The 23147-nt window shown below is 43.2% G+C and overlaps 1 long non-coding RNA gene across 2 annotated transcripts, besides 2 other annotated features; it reads right to left on the bottom strand.

Annotated features, from left to right (window-relative positions):
• Positions 1-796: 796 nt before the first annotated feature.
• On the bottom strand, positions 797-18195 carry LOC105369460 (uncharacterized). Of its 2 annotated transcripts, XR_007062863.1 has the most exons (5): positions 18071-18195; positions 12800-12906; positions 7201-7320; positions 2947-3014; positions 797-2203 (listed from the first exon to the last, which is right to left on the bottom strand). It is a non-coding gene; the product is annotated as an uncharacterized LOC105369460 (long non-coding RNA). The 2 variants fall into 2 exon arrangements; XR_007062862.1 differs by lacking the exons at positions 12800-12906; positions 18071-18195 and adding an exon at positions 9057-9431 and having other exon boundaries at positions 797-3014.
• Positions 13178-13287: a silencer, noted in NCBI's record as "silent region_3860". NCBI's record gives its function as "represses an Ori minimal core promoter by ATAC-STARR-seq in GM12878 lymphoblastoid cells {active_cell/tissue: GM12878}" and the evidence as "EXISTENCE:reporter gene assay evidence [ECO:0000049][PMID:35858748]".
• Positions 20555-21059: an enhancer, noted in NCBI's record as "H3K27ac-H3K4me1 hESC enhancer chr11:102131708-102132212 (GRCh37/hg19 assembly coordinates)". NCBI's record gives its function as "activates a minimal SCP1, AML or CMV promoter by ChIP-STARR-seq in naive H9 embryonic stem cells {active_cell/tissue: H9 hESC(naive)}" and the evidence as "EXISTENCE:reporter gene assay evidence [ECO:0000049][PMID:30033119]".

Here is a 23147-nt window from a genome sequence, read left to right as displayed (position 1 = left end):
ATGCTAGGAAGAAGGGTTTCAGGATTTGTTGATTTGTTTTTATTGTTTTTGTTTTGTTTTGTTTTTGAGATGGAGTCTTGCTCTGTTGTCCAGTCTGGAGTGCAGTGGTGCGATCTCGGCTAACCACAACTTCCACCTCCCAGGTTCAAGCAATTCTCCTGCCTCAGCCTCCTGAGTAGCTGGGACTACAGGCGTGAGCCATCATGCCCAGCTAATTTTTGTGTTTGTATCAGAGATGTAGTTTCACTATGTTGGCCAGGCTAGTCTCGAACTCCTGACCTCATGATCCACCCTCCTTGGCCTCCCAAAGTGCTGGGATTATAGGCGTGAGCCACTGCACACGGCCTTGCTAATTTTCTGTATTTTTAGTGGAGACGGGATTTTGCCATGTTGGCCAGGCTGGTCTTGAACTTCTGACCTCAGGTGATCCACACACCTCGGCCTCCCAAAGTACTGGGATTACAGGTGTGAGCCACCACACCCAGCCCCTGAAATTTGAATTGAAGACAATTTTTAACATGTCATGAAATGTTATCCTTTTGATTTTTTTTTTTTGCAGCCATTTAAAAATGTATCTTAACATTCTAGTCAAAAACAAAAACAAAAACAAAAACAAAACAGGCAGTAGACTGGATTTGACCTGCAGGCTGTACTCTGCTAACCCCTGCTTTAGACAGATGTACATTTATTCAATTTTTTTCTTAACTTGGTACATTTTTTTAAATGCATGCTAATGATGAACTTCTTAAAGTTACAGTGCTGGTATCTTGACCCACCAAAAAAAAGTGGTTGCAAATCATAGATCCAAAATGTATTTGAGGCAGAAGATTGTTCAGAACAAAAATCACTGAAAAGATACATTTTTAGACATAGCTCCTTTACAATTACTTCTTGATAGACAATGGAATTTAACTCTGCACTTACATTCTAATTCTACTTTGACAACGGAACCATTGGAAAAATGTTGGCGTATATTTCTCCAGTTTTGGTTTTATATTTTCTTTATAACTTAAAAAATCTAATTATCATTCTTTTTTGAGAAGGCACTCAATAAATGCTTTTTGAATGAATGATCCAGTCTGTTAAAACTGAAACATTTGCATTCACCCTGGCTTAGGCAAAATTGTAATGAAAGTTATCTTGAACATGCACAGTCTGCGTTTTTCTCTCTATACGGTATGTCTTCTATTAATGTTGTTTTTAAACAACCTTTTCCCTTTCCTTCTCTTGCTGAGATCTCAATACCCTTGCGATCCCTTCCACTTTTTATTAAAACCTGTGCTTAGGGTGAATAAGAGCGTTACTCTTAGAATATTGTAAATAACTTCTAGCAGCAAACTGTTTTACTACACTGTTGGGCTCATTTGCATTTTAATAGAATGAATGAAGCTTTGCATCTGGCATGTTAATACTCAGGGAGCCAACAGGTGGGGAAAACATTTCTTCCAGGAACCTCAGGTAAACTTCTGCTTCAGAAATCATGTCCCATAAGAAGTCACCTCCTTCACCTATGAGGAAAGACAACCACGCTGTCACTGGGCGGAATGGTCACAGCTGGCCTGTGGTGGAATCATGCATTGTAACAGGCAAAGGCTCCAATCAAGCCTGTCCTCTACCCTAGATCTGGGGCTGATAGCATTCTGCAAGAACAGCCACAAAATAAGAACAGGAATCATCTGCACTTTGGAAACACCAACACACTGAGACCTGTTTTGGAAAAAAACAGTGTCTGAAATGGAAAGCTTAGGGGAGACACTTCAAACTCAAAGAACTCCCTGCTGAGATTTTAAAGCCCCACCACATAAAGAAAAAACCTTGACGTGTTTGACTAGCAATTGACAATTTATGTAAAATATCAACTTTCATATCACCAATATTTATATCGCCTAACTTTTATAAGGAACATAAAATATACACATGACTATTCGACCTGCCAAGAAATGATAGCTTGGTATACTGTCATTGGCCTTGGATCATCGCTTGAATTGAGCAACATAATTCAGAGCACAGAGTCTCCGACTCACGGGGAATATAAAATTCTTATCCAAGGACAATGTAACCCGCTTGCAAATATAATAGCGCACGTGCAATTCATCGCGTCTCTCTTTCCCCTTTTGTTCATTTGCTCTCCACTAGAGGATGTGATCTCTGAAACTTTGCTCTTTATGCCGATGGTTTGCAGGGGACTGAGTGAGAATGGGAGCTGAAAGAGAAACAAGACCTTCGAGTTCTCACATTACATTATACTTTCCAACCGTTTGAAGTTAGTGTAACCCTTTGCTAAGTACTTGGCAAACTTTAAACTATACATCTGTGAAGCTGGGTTTTTTTTTCCTTCACATTACCTTTCACCTACTTTAAAATAAACCACTCATTGTTCAAGAGGGAAAAATCAAATTTGTTTTTCCAAAGTAATCTATAATGGAGTAAAACATTGTTAGAAGGTTTGCAATTAACTAATTTACTGTGCAATAAATCTCAGAGGGAATGTAAATTAATGAGGAAATCACTTTTTACCTTCAATATTTAGGCTTCTATTTTCTTTATTAACAAAACATAAGCTTTTTTAAATTGGAAAAGTATATGAAGTTGATTTTTAAAATGTTTACACCATGGAGAAACATAAAATTAAAGTGAAAAAGTAATAGCTCATTTTCTTGTATATCTGGGTTTGTTTGGGTATTAAAATAATGAAAGCAAACACATGGAAATAAGAAATTTGTTTGCAAATGTATTAGATTTAACTTTAGTTTTAACTCTATTTCCCCAGATTTTATCACTTAGAGATGACAAAAACTATTTTAAATCAGTTTAGAAAGTGTAAAGAGGAGGCCTACTGTGTTCCAGGCATGATGTTAGGTATCAGAGGTGATATGAAGATGGAATGACCTGGAATCCTTAACTCTGTAATAGACATTTGTATAAAATAAAATGGAAACTTCATACCTTGGCTGGTAAGGGCTTTAATGATCTTCTTTGCCTGGTTCCCACTGCTTTATCATACACACCTTGTCCTACAGCCATACAAAATTATTTTTAATTCTCCAAATATGCCAAACCTTCCCAAGCCTTTATGCCTTTGCAAATACAGTTGTCTCTTGGTATCCATCGGGGTTTCAGGACCCTCTGCAGATACCAAAATCCAAGGATGCTCAAGTCCCTGATATAAAATGGTGTAATATTTGCATATAACCTACATACATCCTCTTGCATACTTTTGTTTGTTTGTTTTTGAGACAGGGTCTCACTCTGTCACGCAGGCTGGAGTGCAGTGGCATGATCTCAGCTCACTGCAACCTCTGCTCCTGGGTTCAAGTGATTCTCGTGCCTCAGCCTCCCAAGTAGCTGTGACTGCAGGTGTGCATCACCACGACTGCTTGCCTCAGCCTCCCAAAGTGCTGAGATTACAGGCGTGAGCCACCATGCCTGGCCTCTCTTGTATACTTTAAACCATTTCTAGATTACTTATAATACATACTACAATTTAAATACTATGTAAATTGCTGCTATACTATTGTTTAAAAAATAATAAAAAGAAAGGCCAGGCGCAGTGGCTCACGCCAGTAAACCCAGCACTTTCGGAGGCCAAGGCAGGTGAATCACTTGAGGTCAGGAGTTCGAGACCAGCCTGGCCAACATGGTGAAACCCCGTCTCTACTAGAAATACAAAAATTAGCCAGGCATGGTAGCACATACCTATAATCCCACCTACTCGGGAAGCTGAGGCAGGAGAATTGCTTGAACCCAGGAGGCAAACTGCACTCCAGCCTGGGCAACAGACCAAGACTCTGTCAAAAAAAAAAAAAAGAATGAGAAAAAAGTCTGTACATGTTCAGTACAGATATGATTTTTTTTCCAAATATTTTCCATATGCAAGTGGTTGAATCCACAGATGCATAACTCATGGATGTGGAGAGCTGACTACTCATCTCTCTACTTGTAAGGCCTTTCCCTTGGAATACTCCATGAAGCTCTGGTCATCCTTCACAAGTCAACTCAAATCACCACCACCTCTTTAATGACTGCGGGTCCCTTAGGTAAGTAAAAGTCCTTGGATCTGCCGCACTCAAGACACGCCTATCCTTTTTTTTTGTTTTGTTTTTGTTTTTGAGGTGGAGTCTCGCTCTGTCGCCCAGGCTGGAGTACAGTGGCGCGATCTCGGCTCACTGCAAGCTCCGCCTCCCGGGTTCACGCCATTCTCCTGCCTCAGCCTCCTGAGTAGCTGGGACCACAGGTGCCCGCCACCATGCCCGGCTAATTTTTTGTATTTTTAGTAGAGACGGGGTTTCACCGTGTTAGCCAGGATTGTCTCGATCTCCTGACCTCGTGATCCGCCCGCCTCGGCCTCCCAAAGTGCTGGGATTACAGGCATAAGCCACTGCGCCCGGCCACGCCCATCTACCATATTTCTCACAATGGTTTCTTTTTCTTTTTTTTCTTTTTCTTTTTCTTTTTTTTTTTTTTTTTAGACAGTCTCACTCTGTCAGCCAGGCTGGAGTGTAGTGGTGTGATCTTGGCTCACTGCAACCTCCACTTCCCAGGTTCAAGCGATTCTCCTGCCTCAGCCTCCAGAGTAGCTGAGATTACAGGCACCCACCACCATGCCCTGCTAACTTTTTATATTTTTAGTAGACACAGGGTTTCGCCATGTTGGCCAGGCTGGTCTTGAACTCCTGACCTCAGGTGATCCACCTGCCTCAACCTCCCAAAGTGCCAGGATTACAGGTGTGAGCCACCATGCGCAGCCCTCACAATGGTTTCTAATTAGCGATTTCTTTTTCTGTCTATGGTGAGCTCCTTGAGAGCAGGCGGTGGGAATTTGTCTCCTTGATATTCCCATTGATTATCCGTCGCACCTAGCACATGGTGGGCAATATTGACAGTGCTGTGGAAGCAGTGGGGAATGAGTGACTTCCTCTTTCTGGCTGTAGGGAAAGACTTCCCAGAGAAGCTGACACATGGCTTTGATCAGGAATTTCTCAGGAAATACCAAGTAAAGAAAACACAATGTGCCGAAGTATGTGAGTCGGTGTGGAAGCAAATGAGGCTCTAAAAGTGGGTTGTGACAGGACGGAGAGGTCATGCCTGACAAGTTCCAGAGTTTGGCAGCAGCATGATGGACACATTGGAAGGTGATGTGATTAGACATAGGGAGAACTGTTAGGAGACTATTCTCATAGTCTAGGTAAGAATAGATCACAGCCTATGTTAAGATCACAGCAATGGGAATGGAGAAAAACATTAAGATTAGAGAAGTGTTCAGGGCATAGAATTGAGAATTGATTTGATGTAGGGCTCTGGGATGCATTTTAAGCACTGAGTCATATGATGAGGCTTATACTTTAGAAAAATCACTGGCAGCTGCTGCGTGGAGAGCAGATGAGATTAGGGGTGCAGGCAGAGGAGGAGGCCATGTAGAATACTACTCCCGCCAGCTCAATTTCAGCCATGTTGTGTGCTAAATAGACTTTGGGGGAACCAGCCAGTTGACTGGACTTTTACTTATTACATCGTTTCCATGGAAAAAGTGATTTGAGTCTTAAACTGATTTTCAACCACGTTTTTGGAACATAGCCCATTTGTAGTTTGGAACTGGCTGTGCTGAGGGATGTGGTATGGTGAGCCAGGGCTTAAAGCAATGTGGGTGCCAGTCTCAGTTAACTTCACAATAAGGACAAACAAGTGATGTTGTGTATCTGAAGAAATTACCACTTTGCTGCATCAAATACAATTTGTACTTTTCCACTCCTATTAAGTGATTACTACCAATTTGCTAGTTAGTAGCAACAGAGATCAACTTTCACAATGTTTTCCTTGCCTGCCAATAAGTCCACAAGCTATCCATTTCTCGTAAATAATAAAAAGTATATGATGACAGGAAACATTCATACATGCAACATTCCTACTGTGAGAACAAATGGCTGATGACATGGGAAATGAAAATCAGGTAGAAACAGGTAAAAGCAGAGGCAACTACTTGAAAGAAAAGTCTTCCATTGCCTTTAGGTTTAAAAAAGGAAAAAAATGTCATCAGTGCACAAAACAGTCTTAGGACAGGGAACTTTAATTATATACACTGCTTATAGTTTAAAACTTCAGTTTTCTCTGGAAGATAGATCTTGGCTCAATCATATGGCAATTAATAGGGATTTTTACATACTGCAAAATACCCTGTCCCACCACAAGATCAGTCCCCACAGAACCTGCTGGCCCCAAGGCTAATAACTAGGTTAAGTCACAATATAACCCAGATGGGGTCATGCCGGGTCTGATAAGGAAGGAAAGGAACTGATACAAAGAGGCTGCAGGTCCCAGCCAGCAAGTACTGGCAGTAGCCAGGAGACTATGCGTGGAATTAGACTAAGGAGAGTGAAACATGAAAGGATAAGGGAAAGGATAGTGGATAAGGGAAAGTTAGAGTTTATCAACTCAGAGCAGAATATAGCATTTAATACCTGGAAAAGACCCCCAGAAGTGTTGCAGACAGGCTGCTAGGATGGGTCCTAGAAGCAGGGAAAAGTGAAAGCCCACACTAAGTGAGGTGGACATGCTGGAAAGCAGAAGGTATTAAAAGGCTCAGAGAGGCCTGGTCCAGTGGCTCATACCTGTAATTCCAGCACTTTGGGAGGCAGAAGCGGGCAGATCACTGGAGGCTAGGAGTTTGAGACCAGCCTGGCCAAGATGGTGAAACCCCATCTCTACCAAAAATACAAAAATTAGCCAGGTATGGTGGTGCACACCTGTAGTTCCAGCTACTCGGGAGGCTGAGGCATGAGAATCACTTGAACCCAGGAGGCAGAGGCTGCAGTGAGCCGAGATTGCACCACTGCACTCCAGCCTGGGTGACACAGCAAAACTCTGTCTCAAAAAAAAAAAAAAAAAAAAAAAAAGCTCAGAGAAATGAGCCTGCAAGTAATGATATAAGGCCAGAAAAAAAAAAAAAAAACCATCAGAGGACTATGTTCCATGGCAGGGCCTTTTACCCAATAAATATATCAATTTCCAAAGCAACAAAGAATGTGCTGATGAGAGTGGTGTCAGTATCGCTGCCATGGTTTGAATGTGTCCCCTCCAGAGTTCTAGTGTTGCCAATGTGGCAGTGTTAAGCAGTGAGGCCTTTAAGAGGTGATTAGGCCATGAGGGCTCCTCCCTCATGAATGGGATTAAGTCTCTAATGAAAGAGGCTTCACACAGCGTTACCTTAGGTTGCTCTTCAGTTCTGCCATGTGAGGTCACAGCGTTCTGCCCCTCTGGAGTGTGCAGCCTCACCAGACACCAAATCTGTTGGCAGCTTGATCTTGGACTTCCCAGCCTCCAGAACTGTGAGAAATAAATGTCTGTTTTTTATAAATTATCCAGTCTTAGGTATTTTTTTGTAGCAGCACAAATGGATTAAGACAATCACCAACAAGATCAGTAGTGGCTTTTCTCTCTAGGCCAGGGCTGCTATCAGGAGGCATCATTACAGAATAGAGGTGATTAACAGCCACAGGGTTTTAGGACCCTAAAGCAGAGGCCAAGTGGAAGAGCTTAGCTATTAAAAGGTGGGTATATGCAATTACAATAATGAATGGCATCATCAGAGGGGCAGCCAGGGAAGATTGACCCAAACAGTTATGGAGATAATTAACAGAACTCAGCCTCCACACAGGCAGCCAACAAGGGGGAACTCAAGCTATACAATCCAAAGAAATCAAAGATGGATAAACAGGAGGCTGACAGCAGTTAGCTCAATAAAAAGTCAAAATGCTTTTCCAAGTTTCTGAACTTTTTTTTTCCTGAGATGGAGTCTCGCTCTGTTTCCCAGGCTGGAGTGCAGTGGTATGATCTTGACTCACTGCAACCTCCGCCTCCCAGGTTCAAGTGATTCTCCTGCCTCAGACCCCTGAGTAGCTGGGATTACAGGTGTGTGCCACCACACCTGGCTAATTTTTGTATTTTTAGGAGAGACAGGGTTTCACCATGTTGGCCAGGCTGGTCTTGAACTCCTGACCTCAGGTCATCCACCCTCCTCAGCCTCCCAAAGTGCTGGGATTAGAGGCGTGAGCCACCATGCCCGGCTCCATTTCTGAACCTTGAGCCAGTTTTTCAACTTTGGAACCCACTGACTAAAAGAGAGGGTATGTCTCCAAGAGGAAGGACCCTGAAACACCATGGCAAGTATATATGGTAAAGATTCTCCCAGCCCAAGAGACCAGTGGCCATGTACTCAAATAGCTGCACACTGGAGAAGGGGCATTTCAAGAACCACTGGATGCCAATCTGATTTGAAATTGATACTCAAAGACTCAAAGCAATATCATGAGTCTCCTTGTAGAGTGAAGCATATGACAATAAAATAATAAATGGAGTTTAACTTAATTAATAAATGGAATGGCTCTGCATTCCAGTGGACATTCCAATGTCCATTTCCCTACTCCCTAAATGTGTTACTAGAATAGACATATTCAGCAGAAACCCACACTGAGTCCTTAGCCAGGGAGGTAAGAACTATCCACTAATGTGGTAGCCTAGGAGAAGCTCCTGAAACTACCCTTCCCTCCTCCCTAGTTAAGATACTAAGCCAAAAACAGTATCTCATACACAAAGAAATGGCATACATTCATGACACTGTTTATGGAAGATGGAAATGAATGCTATGCAGAAGAATAAATCAGGGAAGAGTGACAGACAGTACTTGTAGGAAGAGAGTTGCCATTTAAAACACAGCAAACAGGGCTGGGCTTTGTGGCTCACACCTGTAACCCCAGCACTTTGAGAGGCCGAGGTGGGCAGATCACAAGAGGTCAGGAGTTCGAGACCAGCCTGGCCAACATAGTGAAACCCCGTCTCTACTAAAAATACAAAAATTAGCCAGGTGTAGTGGCATGTGCCTGTAGTCCCAGCTACTCAGGAAGCTGAGGCAGGAGAATCACTTGAACCTGGGAGGCAGAGGTTGCAGTAAGCCAAGATCACACCACTGCCCTCCAGCTTCAGCGACAGAGTGAGACTCCATGTCAAAAAAATAAAAAAATTAAAATAAATTTTAAAAAATACAGCAGACAGGAAGGACTCACAGAGAAGATGACATTTGAGCAAATACTTGAATGTGAGGGCTGGACGTAAAATAAAGAACTTCAAGATCGACTCCAAGGTTTTTGGCTTCAGAATCTAGGAAAGATGGCATTATCATTACTGAAATGTAAAGAAGAGAGGACAAGGCTTTGTAGAGCAGCTAGATATACAAGTCTGTAGTTCAAAGGGGAGTTTTAGGCTGAAGATAAAAGAGGAGATGTCAGCATATACTGGTAGGCGGGGTTTAAAGCCATGAGACTGGGTGATATCAGGAAGAGACTAAGTGTACAAGAGACAAGAGTACTGAACTTCGAGCCTTGGCGATAGGGGAAATGAGGCTGTAACCAAGGGAAAAGAGGATCAACAAGGAATTTTATAATGCTAGAAATAAGATGTCTGCGATGGAAATGTTCCTGTAAAGAGAGGAAATTTGATCATGCAGAAGAGAAAGTGGAAACTGATAGAGTGAAATCCTTAGGCATTTGAAGTGATGGGATCTAGAATACAAGGGGAGGTATTGATTTTAGGAGTGTGAACAGTGCATGCCTAAAAGCACAAGGAAAAGCAGAGCATTTGGGCAAAAAATGCAGGAAGGTGGGTACTCGCGGTATCAGGAGGATATGAACATTCTCTTCTGATTGCTTCTATTCGTTCAGTGAAATAGGAGGAAAGGTTATCAGCCAAGAGGGCAGAGATGTTTAGGCTTTATACTCCGTGGGATAGAGAACCACTGAAGTATTTTGAGCAGGGCTATAACGTGATCAGATATGGGTCTAATGATTTAGGACTCAAGGTAGTAAAGGGCGTGAGATAGTTAGAGCCATCCAGACAGGGGATGATGAAGTGCCTTAATAATGTCAGTGGAATGGAAAGACATGGTATGGAGGCTTTTAGGAGATTAAATTAATATATATAGTCAGGTTTCCTAAAATAGCCCCCCCACTCTTCATCTCCTTACCCTTATTTATTTTCTGTATAGCACTTACCAATATCTGACAATAAAATCTATACTTGTTTGTAGGTTGACTGTGTCCCTCACTAGAATGAGAGAGAATGTGAGTTGTGTTAGGGTGAAGACTTTGTCTGGTTCACCCTTCTATCCTTCCACATACAGAAACAGTGATTGGCACTTACTGGAGCCTTAATAAATACATATCGAAACAATGATTGGATGGAAGGGACAAGGTAGAGGTAAGACTCAAGGATAACTTCAGAGTTCTGGCTGGGGTCATTGGGGAAATGGTGGTTTGAAAACACCCAAATAGCTGGGATTACAGGCACTGGCCACCACACCAGGACTAAATATGCTAGTTTCATCATTACTGTGAAAGATAAGTCTGTAAGTCACTGATAAAGGAAAAGAGGATATATATCTAGACAAAAAAGATAGATGAAAGAAAAAAATTTGCTGGCGGCCAGGCGTGGTGGATCACGCCTATAATCCCAGCACTTTGGGAGGCCAAGGAGGGCGGATCACCTGAGGTCAGGAGTTTGAGACCAGCATGGCCAACATGGCGAAACCCTATCTCTACTAAAAATACAAAAATTAGCCACGTGTGTTGGCGGGTGCCTGTAATCCCAGCTACTCAGGAGGCTGAAGGAGGAGAATTGCTTGAACCCAGGAGGTGGAGCCAAGATCGCACAATTGCACTCCAGCCTGGGCGACAAGAGTGAAACTCCATCTCAAAAGAAGAAGAAAAAAATGCCAATTAATAGGCAAAATATATTTTTAAAATGAGAACCATCAGAGGTATTAAAAGTGGATTTATTTGGCAACAGAGTTTAGAATATACTGGTATTCAACACAGAATGTTAGGCCTCTTAAATCCCTTTTGAAACAAGATTGAAGATTAATAAAGGAAATAGTGATATCCGAAAAAGCCATTTAAAATGGACACAAAGGGGAAAACAAAATTTCATAGAAAAAAGTTTGGATTTCATTTTGAAAAACATAATGAAATTATAAAACAAGTATTATTTATAATTCCAATAAATCAAGTATTTACTGTTTTATCGACATCACTTTTCAGGTATTTTCCATCATGTTTGACTTGCCATTTTTATAAAAATGTAAATAGGCTTCACCAAGTTTTTTCAAAATGTCTCTATTAATCCTTTGCTAATCTAATCATTCTCTTTTGAAGCACTTAGGTTGTCATCATTCTTGTTTATTTTTTTTTTCTTCAGCTTTTAGGTAATCTCCCTAGCAAGACCCCTGTTTGTGCAAAGAACTTGCTCTCTCCATTATTACTTTCATCAGCTTGATGTAATCCTGTATATTTGACAAGATTTGCAGTTTCATTTAGAAATCAATTTGCAATGACAAAGAGACTGCTTGCCAGGCAAAGGTGTAGACCCAGAGGAGCGTTTGAGGATAATTCTTTATAGTTTCACGCTGTACCTTTAAATGTAGGGATTTGATATTGACTGCTCTGATGACCAGAACCCTCCTAGAGCTGGAAGGAAATTTCCAGCATGTTATCAAACTCTTGTTTTATAACTAAGCCTCAAAGAATGGAAGGAGCAATTCCAGATCACTGAACAAATTAGGAGCAACTCAGGGCAAAATTTCAGACCTACCTTCTGCCACACACAAAAAAGGAGTTGGTGCTGACAAGACTCACTCTTTTAGAACCTGCCCACCTGGAGGAACTCTGAGGAGGAGCCAATTAATTCATCCCCACACCAGCTCAGTCACCCATCCTATGCAATGATAGGACTAGACAGAGAGAACCTGAAGCCTGCACTGAGCACATCTGAGATTAAATCACTGTTCACTGGGTTTAAATAGGGATGACAGCACAGTTATTCGCTAACCCTGCAAACTGCTGTTTCAGAAGCAATGTTCAGGGGTGAATCATTAAAATAAGAACATAACCAACTCACATATCACCTAACAGGAAATGATGGGAGAGGAACAACCCAACTAACTTGTTTAGGCTTTTAATCCCCCAAACCAGCCTGCGAGCCTGAGCCTGAAGCCTCAGCCCTGCCCAGCTCCACCTGATTAAGTTCTGTCTCCAGAACATCTTTAAGGAGGGGCTGGTCTTAATGCAAGTCTGATAACACTTTTCATTGCCTCCTGGTTTCTTGATCCCAGAAGCTAGGCACGTGGAGGTGAGTGAGAAAGCAAGTTTACAAAGGGGCAGTTGATTAATGTAGGTATAAAAGTTTTCTTTTTCCAACTGAGTAATAAAATTTGGTTTGAAATCAAGCCTGGTTTATAGAGGGGATATTAAAACCCAACTCAATTCCAGTTATAGAGAAAGAACTAACCAATTCTAGTCATTTTCTAGAATTCAGAATTACATGGCCTGACCTAAAAAATTCCAAATACTTTATTTAGACCCTAGGGGAATTCTTTATGTGACCCTCAAATGAAGCTGCTAATAATGAGCTTAGGAGCTAAATTGTGCCTTGCATCGATGTGATCTCTACCCAGAGGAATCTTTCTAAAATCCAAATCACATCATAGTCTCTTGCTTAAGATACTTCCATGTTTCCTCTCTGCTTCAACATAAAAATCTGTAGCCACTAGAATTTATAATTTAGGAATTCTTTCATGATCTGGCCCCATGATCCAGCTTCACCTTTCCAGAGGGTCTGTACTACTTCCAGCTTCTCCCTGTCCTTGCTCTCATCCTACCTCTCTAACTAGCTGCAACGTGCTCTTCCTCCACAGCCCCCTCTACCTGTCCAACACCCAGCAATTCCACCCTCACAGCACTTCCCACTGCCCGTTTACCTGTTGGTCTTTTCCACTAGACAATAAGCTTCTTGAGGGTTATTTTGCCATTAAATCCCCAGTGACTGGAAACAAGTAGACCCTCGGTAGCTATTTGCTGAATCAGACTGAATTTGGAAAGAAAAAGGAAAGAAACGAGCACTAATGAATAAGTGTCAGTGCTTGGCACATAAACAATATAGATACGTCATTCTTTTAATCCTCAAACAGCTGTGAAATTTAACGATAATCAACCCCATTTTGTGAATAAGGAAATTGAATCTCGAGAGTCCAGTCACTTGAGCAAGGTGTATAGAGGAGGTAGGACAAAATTGTCGCTAAGTCGGGCAACGCCCTCTGCAGCAGCCGAGCGGCGCTGCCTCCTGATTGCCGGGGATGACTGGGGCTGCCGGAGCTCTCTGGGCAGAGATCCAAGCTCCGGGCCCAAGTACAGGCAGGTGTTCGTGCAGAGGCCCCACCCACCCTGGCTGGAGCCCCGCCCCACCCGCATGCCCCGCCTACTCAGCGCTGCCCCGGTGGAGAAAGCAGCGCGGCCGCAGGGCGTGCAGGATTGACAGGGCATGCCCTGGCATTCCGGAAATGCCGTGGAAAACAGCGAAACTTCAGCTCCAGGTGGCCTAGAGGCGTGGCAAACGAGAATGTGGGGGAGGTGTTCACTGCAGAAGGGTGGTCCCAAATCTGGGACCCACCGTTCCCTCCAGCCCCGCAGAAGTCAGTCAGGCCGTGGTGCTGGAAGCTTCTCAGACTTGCCTGTCATTAAAGTCCGAGGGTGGTTATAAACTCCAACTGTCACGGCAAGTTGTGTTTTTGGAGACTCTTCCAACTCCGCCAGGCTGTAAACAATGACTTTGCCTTAGAAGTTGCAGTTGAATAGGAAGAGCTTGGAAGAGCGCTTTGAGTTGAATTGCCAAGTCGGAGCTTTTGAAGCTTCTCCGAAGTTTGCTCGAATTGCAGCCCGAACTACATCTTTTCCACAAGGGCTGGACATATTTCAGGAATCTAGTATTTCCTTGGGGAATGTTTTCCTCCCCCTGCGCTGGAAGCTGCTCTCCATGTTTTCCCCCCCTTTCATTCCCATGGGTTGAAACTGACCCGCCCTGTGTGGAGGAAGTCCTCTGTAGGACTCTGGAGATCCGACCAGGACATCCACCTGGGCATTTTGGACCCCAACGCCTTGCTTCTGTATCTGATCTGCATTTGCCTTTCTGGACACCCTCTTCTGTGCTCCAAGACACCCTATACTTTTCTACCTTGACAGGGAACTTGACATTTTTAAACTTACCTATTTATTTGTCCGTCTCCCCTATTAGATTATGAATTCCTTAGGTCAGAGACATTCTTTCCTTATGTCAGTACCTGACACATTGAACCGTGGTTGTGGAGAGAATAAGTTCCCTCAGCCGTTATGAAGGGAAACCTCCCCAGCTTGTAAACTGTCTCCTTGACTTATGGAGGACTGTTCCAGAATGAGTCAGAGGGGAAGATCCACCCAGATAAGTCGGAGGCATTGGAAACAAGCCGGTAAAACTTTCTTCATTTGATCTTTTATACATTGGAGCTACTCACACAGATAGATTTTTGAAGCAAATAACTGCATTTTGCATCTACCATCCCTTTTCCCCCCACATTTAACCCACACTATGTAGATAAAATTTACTTGGGGAATTCTTGAACAGTTAAATTGTTTATATTCAATTAAGAGATTTTTATCTTTATTAATCCCCTCCTCCTCCACATATTTTCAGGCAAAATAATTATTGAGTAGTATAGGGACTTTGGGATCGTTATAATAATCAAAGAGGCCTGAGTATTCATTCAAAAAATGAAAATGAGATTTTTCATTTTTTGAAGGAAGGAATTCGTGCTTAACTCTGATGTTCATTTAGTTACTGATGATTTTTAAATTTTAACTTGTATATTCAAGTGAGTATTGTCTTTTCTTGTTATATGTTTATTTAACAATGCCATCATTTCTCAAAGCATTTTATTTTACTTACTTTAAGCCATAAGAAAAGCAAGGTGGGCATTGCTTGAGCCCAGGAGTTTGAGACCAGCCTGGGCAACAAAGTGAGATCCCCCGTCTCTCTCTCTCTCTCTTTTTTTTCTTAAATAAGAAGTTAAAAAAGGAAAAAAAAAAAAAAGAAACAAAAGCAAAGCATACTTGTGGTAGGACGCAGTGGCTCACACCCGTAATCCCAGCATTTTGGGAGGGCAAGGTGGAAGGATCCCTTGAGCCCAGGAGTTCGAGACCAGTCTGGGCAACACAGGGAGCCCCTATCTGTTTTTTTTTTTTTTTGAGACAGAGTCTTGCTCTGTCGCTCAGGCTGGAGTACAGTGGCGCGATCTCGGCTTACTGTAAGCTCTGCCTTCCGGGTTGACGCCATTCTCCTGCCTCAGCCTCCCCAGTAGCTGGGACTACAGGCGTCCGCCACCACGCCCGGCTAACTTTTTGTATTTTTTACTAGAGATGGGGTTTCACCGTGTTAGCCAGGATGGTCTCGATCTCCTGACCTCGTGATCCGCCCGCCTCGGCCTCCCAAAGTGCTGGGATTACAGGCATAAGCTACTGCACCCGGCAGAGCCCCTATCTCTAAAAAATAAAATAAAATAAGATATATGTTTTTTGAAGCAGACCTGTATCTTTATAGTAATACCTCATATACCCCAGAATTCTGAAGATAAGACCATCAGGCCAAGTACAGACTTAGGGCCACGCTCCCCCTCCATGTTTTTTAGAGCCCCACAACCCCTTCATGTTTTTTAAATTCACAATTAGTGTTCTTTCAACATGAATAGACTAAAATATCTCAGTTTTCTGAAACAAAAAGGAACATGATTTATTGACCTTATTTAACCAAAGGAAACATATGGTGTCATTTAACACTAACTCTAGATTTGGATCAAATTTTTAGAATGAGCAATGCCTCTGATTTAACTAAGCATCTCCTGCAGGAAAGGAGTCATGCAAAGCTTCATCTGCTCAACTGAGAACAGAACAGGCCAAAGTTTAACTTTATATTCCCTGGGATTCTTCAGGCTATTAAAATATTTGGCTAAATGATTGAATACGCTTTACAAAAGTCACAATATTTTCATATACAACATTTGGAAATGAGCTAATTGCTTTTCATGTGCTTCTCAAATGACAGACAGTACAGCCCCCTCAGAGATTCCCATAGCAATGGCCTATAGACTTTGCAAAATCATAGACTAACAGGGATGCAGTTTTTTTGGAGAATCAATTTTGCTGAATGGTGATTAGCCTAAAATATTTTATATTAAAAACCAAACAGAATGCAACATGTATATGAATTTTTAAGATCAAACAGCAAATTCTAAAGAAATTTTTGTTTGCAGTGCCAGCATCATCTCTCCAACAGCCCTCTCACCCTCAGGATATATATTCCCTTTCGTTTTTTCAGGATTGTTTGGTGGAAGTTTAAGATACTCTCTAACCTAATATGTTGACATTAGTCAGCGTTCACTGACCTTGAGGAAAACTAGCTAACATTGACTTGTGTAATGTATGGTCTTTATCATTCTGGTTCTTCCCTCCACCCGCCATCTGTCTCCCAGGTAGGCTAACTCTAAAACAGGCACAACTAAGGCTTACTTACATTCCCTTTTTTTTTTTTTTTTCCTGAGACAGAGTCTCACTCTGTCACCCAGGCTGGAGTGCAGTGGCACCCTCTTAGCTCACTGCAACTTCCGCCTCCCAGGTTCAAGCGATTCTCGTGCCTCAGCCTCCCGAGAGTAGCAGGGACTACAGGTGCACACCACCACACCCGGCTAATTTTTGTATTTTCGGTAGAGACGGGGTTTCGCCATGTTGGCCAAGCTGGTCTTGAACTCCTTAAGTGATTTGCCCACCTTGGCCTCTCAAAGTGCTAGGATTACAGGCATGAGCCACTGTGTCCAGCCTACATTCCCTTTTAAAGGTTGCCTTTCTTCCTAGGCTGCACTTCAGGACCGCAAGAAGAGTGCTAAACCCTTATGAACTTTTTCTTTCTTTTAAAAAAAATTTGTCTAGAGATACCCAAGTATTGTTCACGAGGCCCATGGTTTTAGACCATGCTGGCTTTCTCATATTAGGGGTCCCTTTCCTGAGAGTGCTAATCCATGGACATACATGCACACTAGTCTCTCCCATTCTGCACCTGTACCCCGACTCACCTGTTCACATGGCTCCATTCCCTCCCTAGCACCTGCAGTTACTTCTTCCAGTTTCTTTCCATGAATACAGACCTGCTTCTCCTGCTGTACTGTAAAGACAGGAGGCAAAGGCAGGAGCCATTTTCTGCTAAAATCTGCTAATGCTGATATGGCATTTCCCACATTAGCTAAAGTTAAACAGAGTTGATGATGCTATTTTATATACTTTGTTTTTTTTTTTGAGACAGAGTCTCGCTTTGTTGCTCAGGCTGGAGTGCAGTGGTGTGATCTCGACTCACTGCAACCTCCACCTCCCGGGTTCAAGCGATTCTCCTGCCTCAGCCTCTGGAGTAGCTGGGACTACAGGTGCACACTACCACACCCAGATCATTTTTGTGTTTTTAGTAGAGACAGGGTTTCGCCATGTTGGCTAGGCTGGTCTTGAACTCCTGACCTCGAGTGATCCACCTGCCTCGGCCTCCCCAAGTGTTGGGATTACAGGCGTGAGCCACTGCACCCAGCATATTTTATATTATTTTATTTTTATTATTTTGAGATGGAGTCTCACTCTGTCGCCCAGGCTGGTGTGCAGTGGCTTGATCTCGGCTCACTGCAAGCTCTGTCTCCTGGGTTCACACCATTCTCCTGCCTCAGCCTCCCGAGTAGCTGGGACTACAGGCGCCCACCACCACGCCTGGCTAATTTTTTGTATTTTTAGTAAACACGGGGTTTCACTGTGTTAGCCAGGATGGTCTCGATCTCCTGACCTCTTGATCCACCCGCCTCGGCCTCCCAAAGTGCTGGGATTACAGGCATGAGCCACTGCGCCCGGCCATTTTATATAATTTTAAAGCTTTGTGTCTTCTTTACTTTTTTCCCCATTATTTCAGCTCCTCCAGTTTTTGCACAAAGCTTGATAAATCTCTAAAATAAAACATTCTATAATCAAAAAACAGGACCATGCTCTAAAATGCCTGGAATATGAATAGAAATGATATTCTAAATGATGGTTGTATGTTAGAGATATTGTCAAAAACCTAACAACCTCCCATCTCTTCCGTAACACAGAATAAGGCAGGACAGAAATGACTATAGGCCACTGAGAGAGAAGATACTTACTTTCCAACTTCTCATTATCCTCTAGTGAATTAAAAGGTAGTGTCCAGGAAGAGAGTAGAACAGGGTGTCCCGCCTCTGGACAGATTTACGGTCCCCTCATCCACTGAAAATGTTATTTATGAGGAGCATGCAGTCAGGCTGGTGGAGAGAATAGAGAATGCATGACTGTGGACTTGACTCTAAACCCCATCATTAACTACCACACAAATCATGTTTCCCATTCAAGCACATAGTAACTTAATGCTGGGTCTTGAGAGGTGTGCAATTAGCTCATACCAGCACTGGGCAGAAGTTTTAAATTAAACAGATGTGATGTATATTAATGGCCTAATGGGACATCAAAGGAGCAGTTTGGAATTATTTTCTTTTTTTCTCTAAATGGGCTTTGATCTGGCTGTCTCACTCTCATATTGCCAGGATTAGTGTGATGGCTAGAGGCTCTGAGTTAGAAATGGACTGCCACTTAAGGACTGTGTGTGGCTGCAGCGGCCCCTCACTGAACCCAATTTCCTGCAAAGAGATGGGACCATCATTGGTTCTACTTAAAGCAAAACAAAACAAACCCAGGAGGGTTTAGTATATTGTACCAACAAATACTAAGAATCAAACTTTTTTTTAAGAGGCTGTTTTTATTATATTCTCTTTGATGACTCTACTATTTTTCAAACATTTTAATATATAAGACATACACTTTTGGATTTAATATGTATAAAATCTAATACTTGAAAATACAATAGGTTCAGCATATCAGTAGAGTACAAAGAAGATATAATTCTCGGTTTTTTTCCTCCTTTTTTTTTTGGAGACAGAGTCTTGCTCTGTCACCCAGGCTAGAGTGCAATGGTATGATCTTGGCTCGCTGCAACCTCCATCTCCTGGATTCAAGTGATTTCTCGTGCCTCAGCCTCCTAATCACCTGGGACTACAGGCATGCACCATCACCCCCAGCTAATTTTTGTATTTTTAGTAGAATCAGGGTTTCGCCATGTTGTCCGGGCTGGTCTTGAACTCCTGGCCTCCAGTGATCTGCCCACCTCAGCCTCCCAAAGGTGTTGGGATCATAGGCATGAGCCTATATCTTTTTTCATTGTTGTTTTGAGAAGGAGTCTCGCTCTGTCCCCCAGGCTGGAGTGCAGTGGCCTAATCTCGGCTCACTGCAACCTCTGCATCATGGGTTCAAGCGATTCTCCTGCCTCAGCCTCCCGAGTAGCTGGGATTACAGGCTCGCGCCACCACGCCCAGCTAGTTTTTGTTTTTTGTTTTTTTAGTAGAGATGGGGTTACACCATGTTGGTCAGGCTGGTCTCAATCTCCTGACCTCAAGTGATCCATCTGCCTCACCTCTCAAAGAGACGGGGTTTCACCATGTTGGCCAGGCCGGTCTCAATCTCCTGCCCTCAAGTGATCTGCCTGCCTCAGCCTCCCAAAGTGCTGGGATTACAGGTATGAGCCACCATTCCCAGGCCAATAAAAATATCTTGAATGCCTCTTTTCAATGATGAGGAGTTGGAGAGAGAAATTTCTTCTTTTGGTGAGTGTCAAGTTATACGACCCTAAGTGGCCATTTGTCATTCTTTTTTGGTTTCTCAGCATTTAAACACTGCTTTCTGTATTTGGAGAGACCCAAACCTCCACTACAGAAGCTGAAAATGCTGGGTATTTGCTTTCCCAAGCTACTTTGCAATCTAGAATAAAGACATTGACATGAAGTTTCCATTCATCAGATGAACTGGAAGCAAGTGATTCAAAAAAGCAGAAACCATACTGACTCTATTCTGGCACACGCAGCCTCCCTCCTACAGCCACTTCCCAGAGGCAGCAGGAACAGACATTTCGTGTCCTTGTCCAAAACTGATGATGTTAGAGGTGCAAGTGGCTGTGTGTGTCTGCCCAGCAGACTCACTCTGTAGCATGAGTTTGGGCACGTGTGATGGTTAATGTTGGGTGTCAGCTGAACTAGATTGAGGAGTGCCTAGATGGGACTAATGAGGCAATTACAAAGTCAGACTAAGGGGAGAGTTTTTGCTACTTTATATTAGAGGAAAAAAATAGGCTACCTAAGGTTTATTCTGAGGGCGCCAGATTAAGTAGGAAAGATGAAAACTTTAGGCTGAAATCATCAATGTGAATGAAATTATCAGAGATTCTGAAATCGCTAGGCTAGATCAAACAGCTGGGAGCAATTCTCATTGTGTGCTCCATTTCTATTTTAAAAGCTGGCCCATTGGCTGGGCGCGGTGGCTCATCTGCAATCCCAGCACTTTGGGAGGCTGAGGTGGGAGGATCATTTGAGGTCAGGAGTTCGAGACCAACCTGGCCAACATAGTGAAAACCCGTCTCTACTAAAAATACAAAAATTAGCCAGGCATGGTGGTGCAGGCCTGGAATCTCAGCTACTTTGGAGGCTAAGACACGAGAATCATTTGAACCTGGGAGGTGGAGGCTGCAGTGAGCCCAGGTGGCATCACTGCACTCCAGCCTGGGCGACAGAGTGAGACTGTGTCTCAAAACAACAACAACAAAATAGCTGGCCCACTGTGGCAAGCTATTGCCCAGACCTGCAACGACAAAGCCTCAAGCAGGCCTGAGGATGCAGAAAGGCATAAAAACAGCAGGAACCAGATTATGTCCCTGCAGTGAGATGAGAAGTTTTCTTTTTTATTTTCTGGAAATAGGTGGGACCCTTGAAATAATGGACAGCCTAAAGTGGTATCAAAGGCAGTCATGTTTCTCAACTCCATTGACCTGATGAATTCATCACTCTGGGAGGGCTGTTGAGACCACCAAACTGAGGGTACACCTCTGTAATTAACGATGGGGATCCTGGCCAGGCGCGATGGCTCAAGCCTGTAATCCCAGCTACTCCAGAGGCTGAGGCAGGAGTACCGCTTGAACCCAGGAGGCCGAGGTTGCGGTGAGCCGAGATCATGCCACTGCATTCCAGCCTGGGTGACAGAGTGAGACTCTTGTCTCCAAAAAAATAAAGTGGGGGATCCCAGCTGGGCACAGTGGCTCACGCCTATAATCCCAGCACTTTGGGAAGCCAAGGCAGGTGGATCATTTGAGGTCGGGAGTTGGAGACCAGCCTGGCCAACATGGTGAAACCCCATCTCTACTTAAAAAAATATGAAAATTATCCGGGCGTGGTGGCAGGCACCTGTAATCCCCTCTACTGGGGAGGCTGAGGCCAGAGAATCGCTTGAACCCAGGGGGCAGAGGTTGCAGTGAGCCGAGAATGTGCCAGTGTACTCCAGCCTGGGCAACAGAGGGAGACTCTGTCTCAAAAAAAAAAAATAATAATAATAATAATAATAAATACATAAGTAATTTTAAAAAGGAGATCCTGAGGTGCTCGTTTACTCACACCAACATGTATTCTTAATCATGTGTGAAGGTTTTGAAGCAATTGTAAAGTCTAGTGAGAGAAGCCTTAGCTAAGTCTGAGCTGTCATTCTCACCAATGTACAAACCTTGGTCTCCTTTGTGGTCTGCCGTAGCTTACCCATGCTAATTGAAGTTGAGGTGCCAGAAATTCCTTAGTATAATACAAAGGAAGTAATTCAAAGGCTTAGGAAAATAGGAATGCTGGAGTGGTTTTTTAATGGGTGAACTGCTCACTCCTCACCAAAATATGTCCCTTAAAGAGCTAGAAGATAGTGTTCACCAATACTTTTTTTTTTTTTTTAAAGATGGAGTCTTGCTCTTGTCACCCAGGCTGGAGTGCAGTGATGAGATTTTGGCTCACTGCAACTTCCACCTCCCGGGTTCAAACAATTCTCCTGCCTCAGTCTCCAGAGTAGCTGGGATTACAGGTGCCTGCCACCATGCCTGGCTAATTTTTTTTGTATTTTTAATAGAGAAGGGGTTTCACCATGTTGGCCAGGCTGGTCTCGAACGCCTGACCTCAGGTGATCCACCCGCCTCAGCCTCCCAAAGTGCTGGGATTACAGGTGTGAGCCACCGTGCCCGGCCAGTGTGCACCAAGACTTTGAGAAACACTGGAAAGGGAAGCACCAGCATCTTTGAATATTGCTATACTGGCCATCAGAAAAATGTCTAAATTGAAATGAGCTTCCTGATTTCTATGGGGAGAAAAAGCATGATCCAGGATGGCGGAGGTTAGGCAAAGGCATGGTGGATGTTCTTACGAAAATAGGCAGCATGGTCGGGGTAATGTTCGGAATAACAGGATCTCTGTTACCTGGCAGTAGGTGATTGATTATGGGTCCCCTATGACCAAATTACAGGGCAGCTCATGCAGGTTCTGCCTGATCTGTATAGTAATTAAAAAACAAGAACGTCTCTACGATAGGGTGAACAGAGGCCTGACTTGAACCACCCTGATGGTGATTTAAAGATTCACAACTGCAGGATGTAGCAGATGACCAACATGGCTTAGTAAGACACTCACCTACATTCCAGGAGGGAAGATAAATCCCACAAAAACACAAGATCCCAACACCACATCATGTTTCTAAGGGTCTAGAGGTCTGGAGCAGATTGAGAGATTTTCTCCTAAGTAAAGGTTAAAATGACTGATAAATGCAACCATTAAAAGGATTTCCAACAACATAACATCCCAAGCAAAGTCAAAACACTAGTGACAAGCTGGAAAACTTTTCTACAACTTCTAATGTCTCATAAAGAACTCCCTTATATTCATGAGAAAAATCTAGCAACCCAACAGTAAAATGAGAAAAAGACCTGAACAGACAATTCTGAGTAAAAGAAATACAGATTGGTGGCCGGGCGTGGTGTCTCACGCCTGTAATCCCAGCACTTTGGGAGGCCGAGGCAGGTGGATCACTGAGGTCAGAAGTTCGAGACCAGCCTGGCCAACATGGTGAAACCCCATCTCTACTAAAAATACAAAAACTGCTGGGCATGGTGGCACGTGCCTGTAATTCCAGCTACTCGGAAGGCTGAAGCTGGAAAATTGCTTGAACCCGGGAGGCAGAGGTTGCAGTGAGCGAGACTCTGTCTCAAAAAATAAAAAATAAATAAATACAGATTGGCCTTAAATATATGAAAGATGCTTAACTTGATTCATCATAAGTGACATACAAATTAAAACTACT

This window comes from Homo sapiens, chromosome 11 (genome assembly GCF_000001405.40).
Source record: "Homo sapiens chromosome 11, GRCh38.p14 Primary Assembly".
NCBI classification, from domain to species: domain Eukaryota; kingdom Metazoa; phylum Chordata; class Mammalia; order Primates; family Hominidae; genus Homo; species Homo sapiens.
The sequence above is the reverse complement of the archived record's forward strand: the minus strand, read 5'-3'. Positions and strand labels throughout refer to the sequence as shown.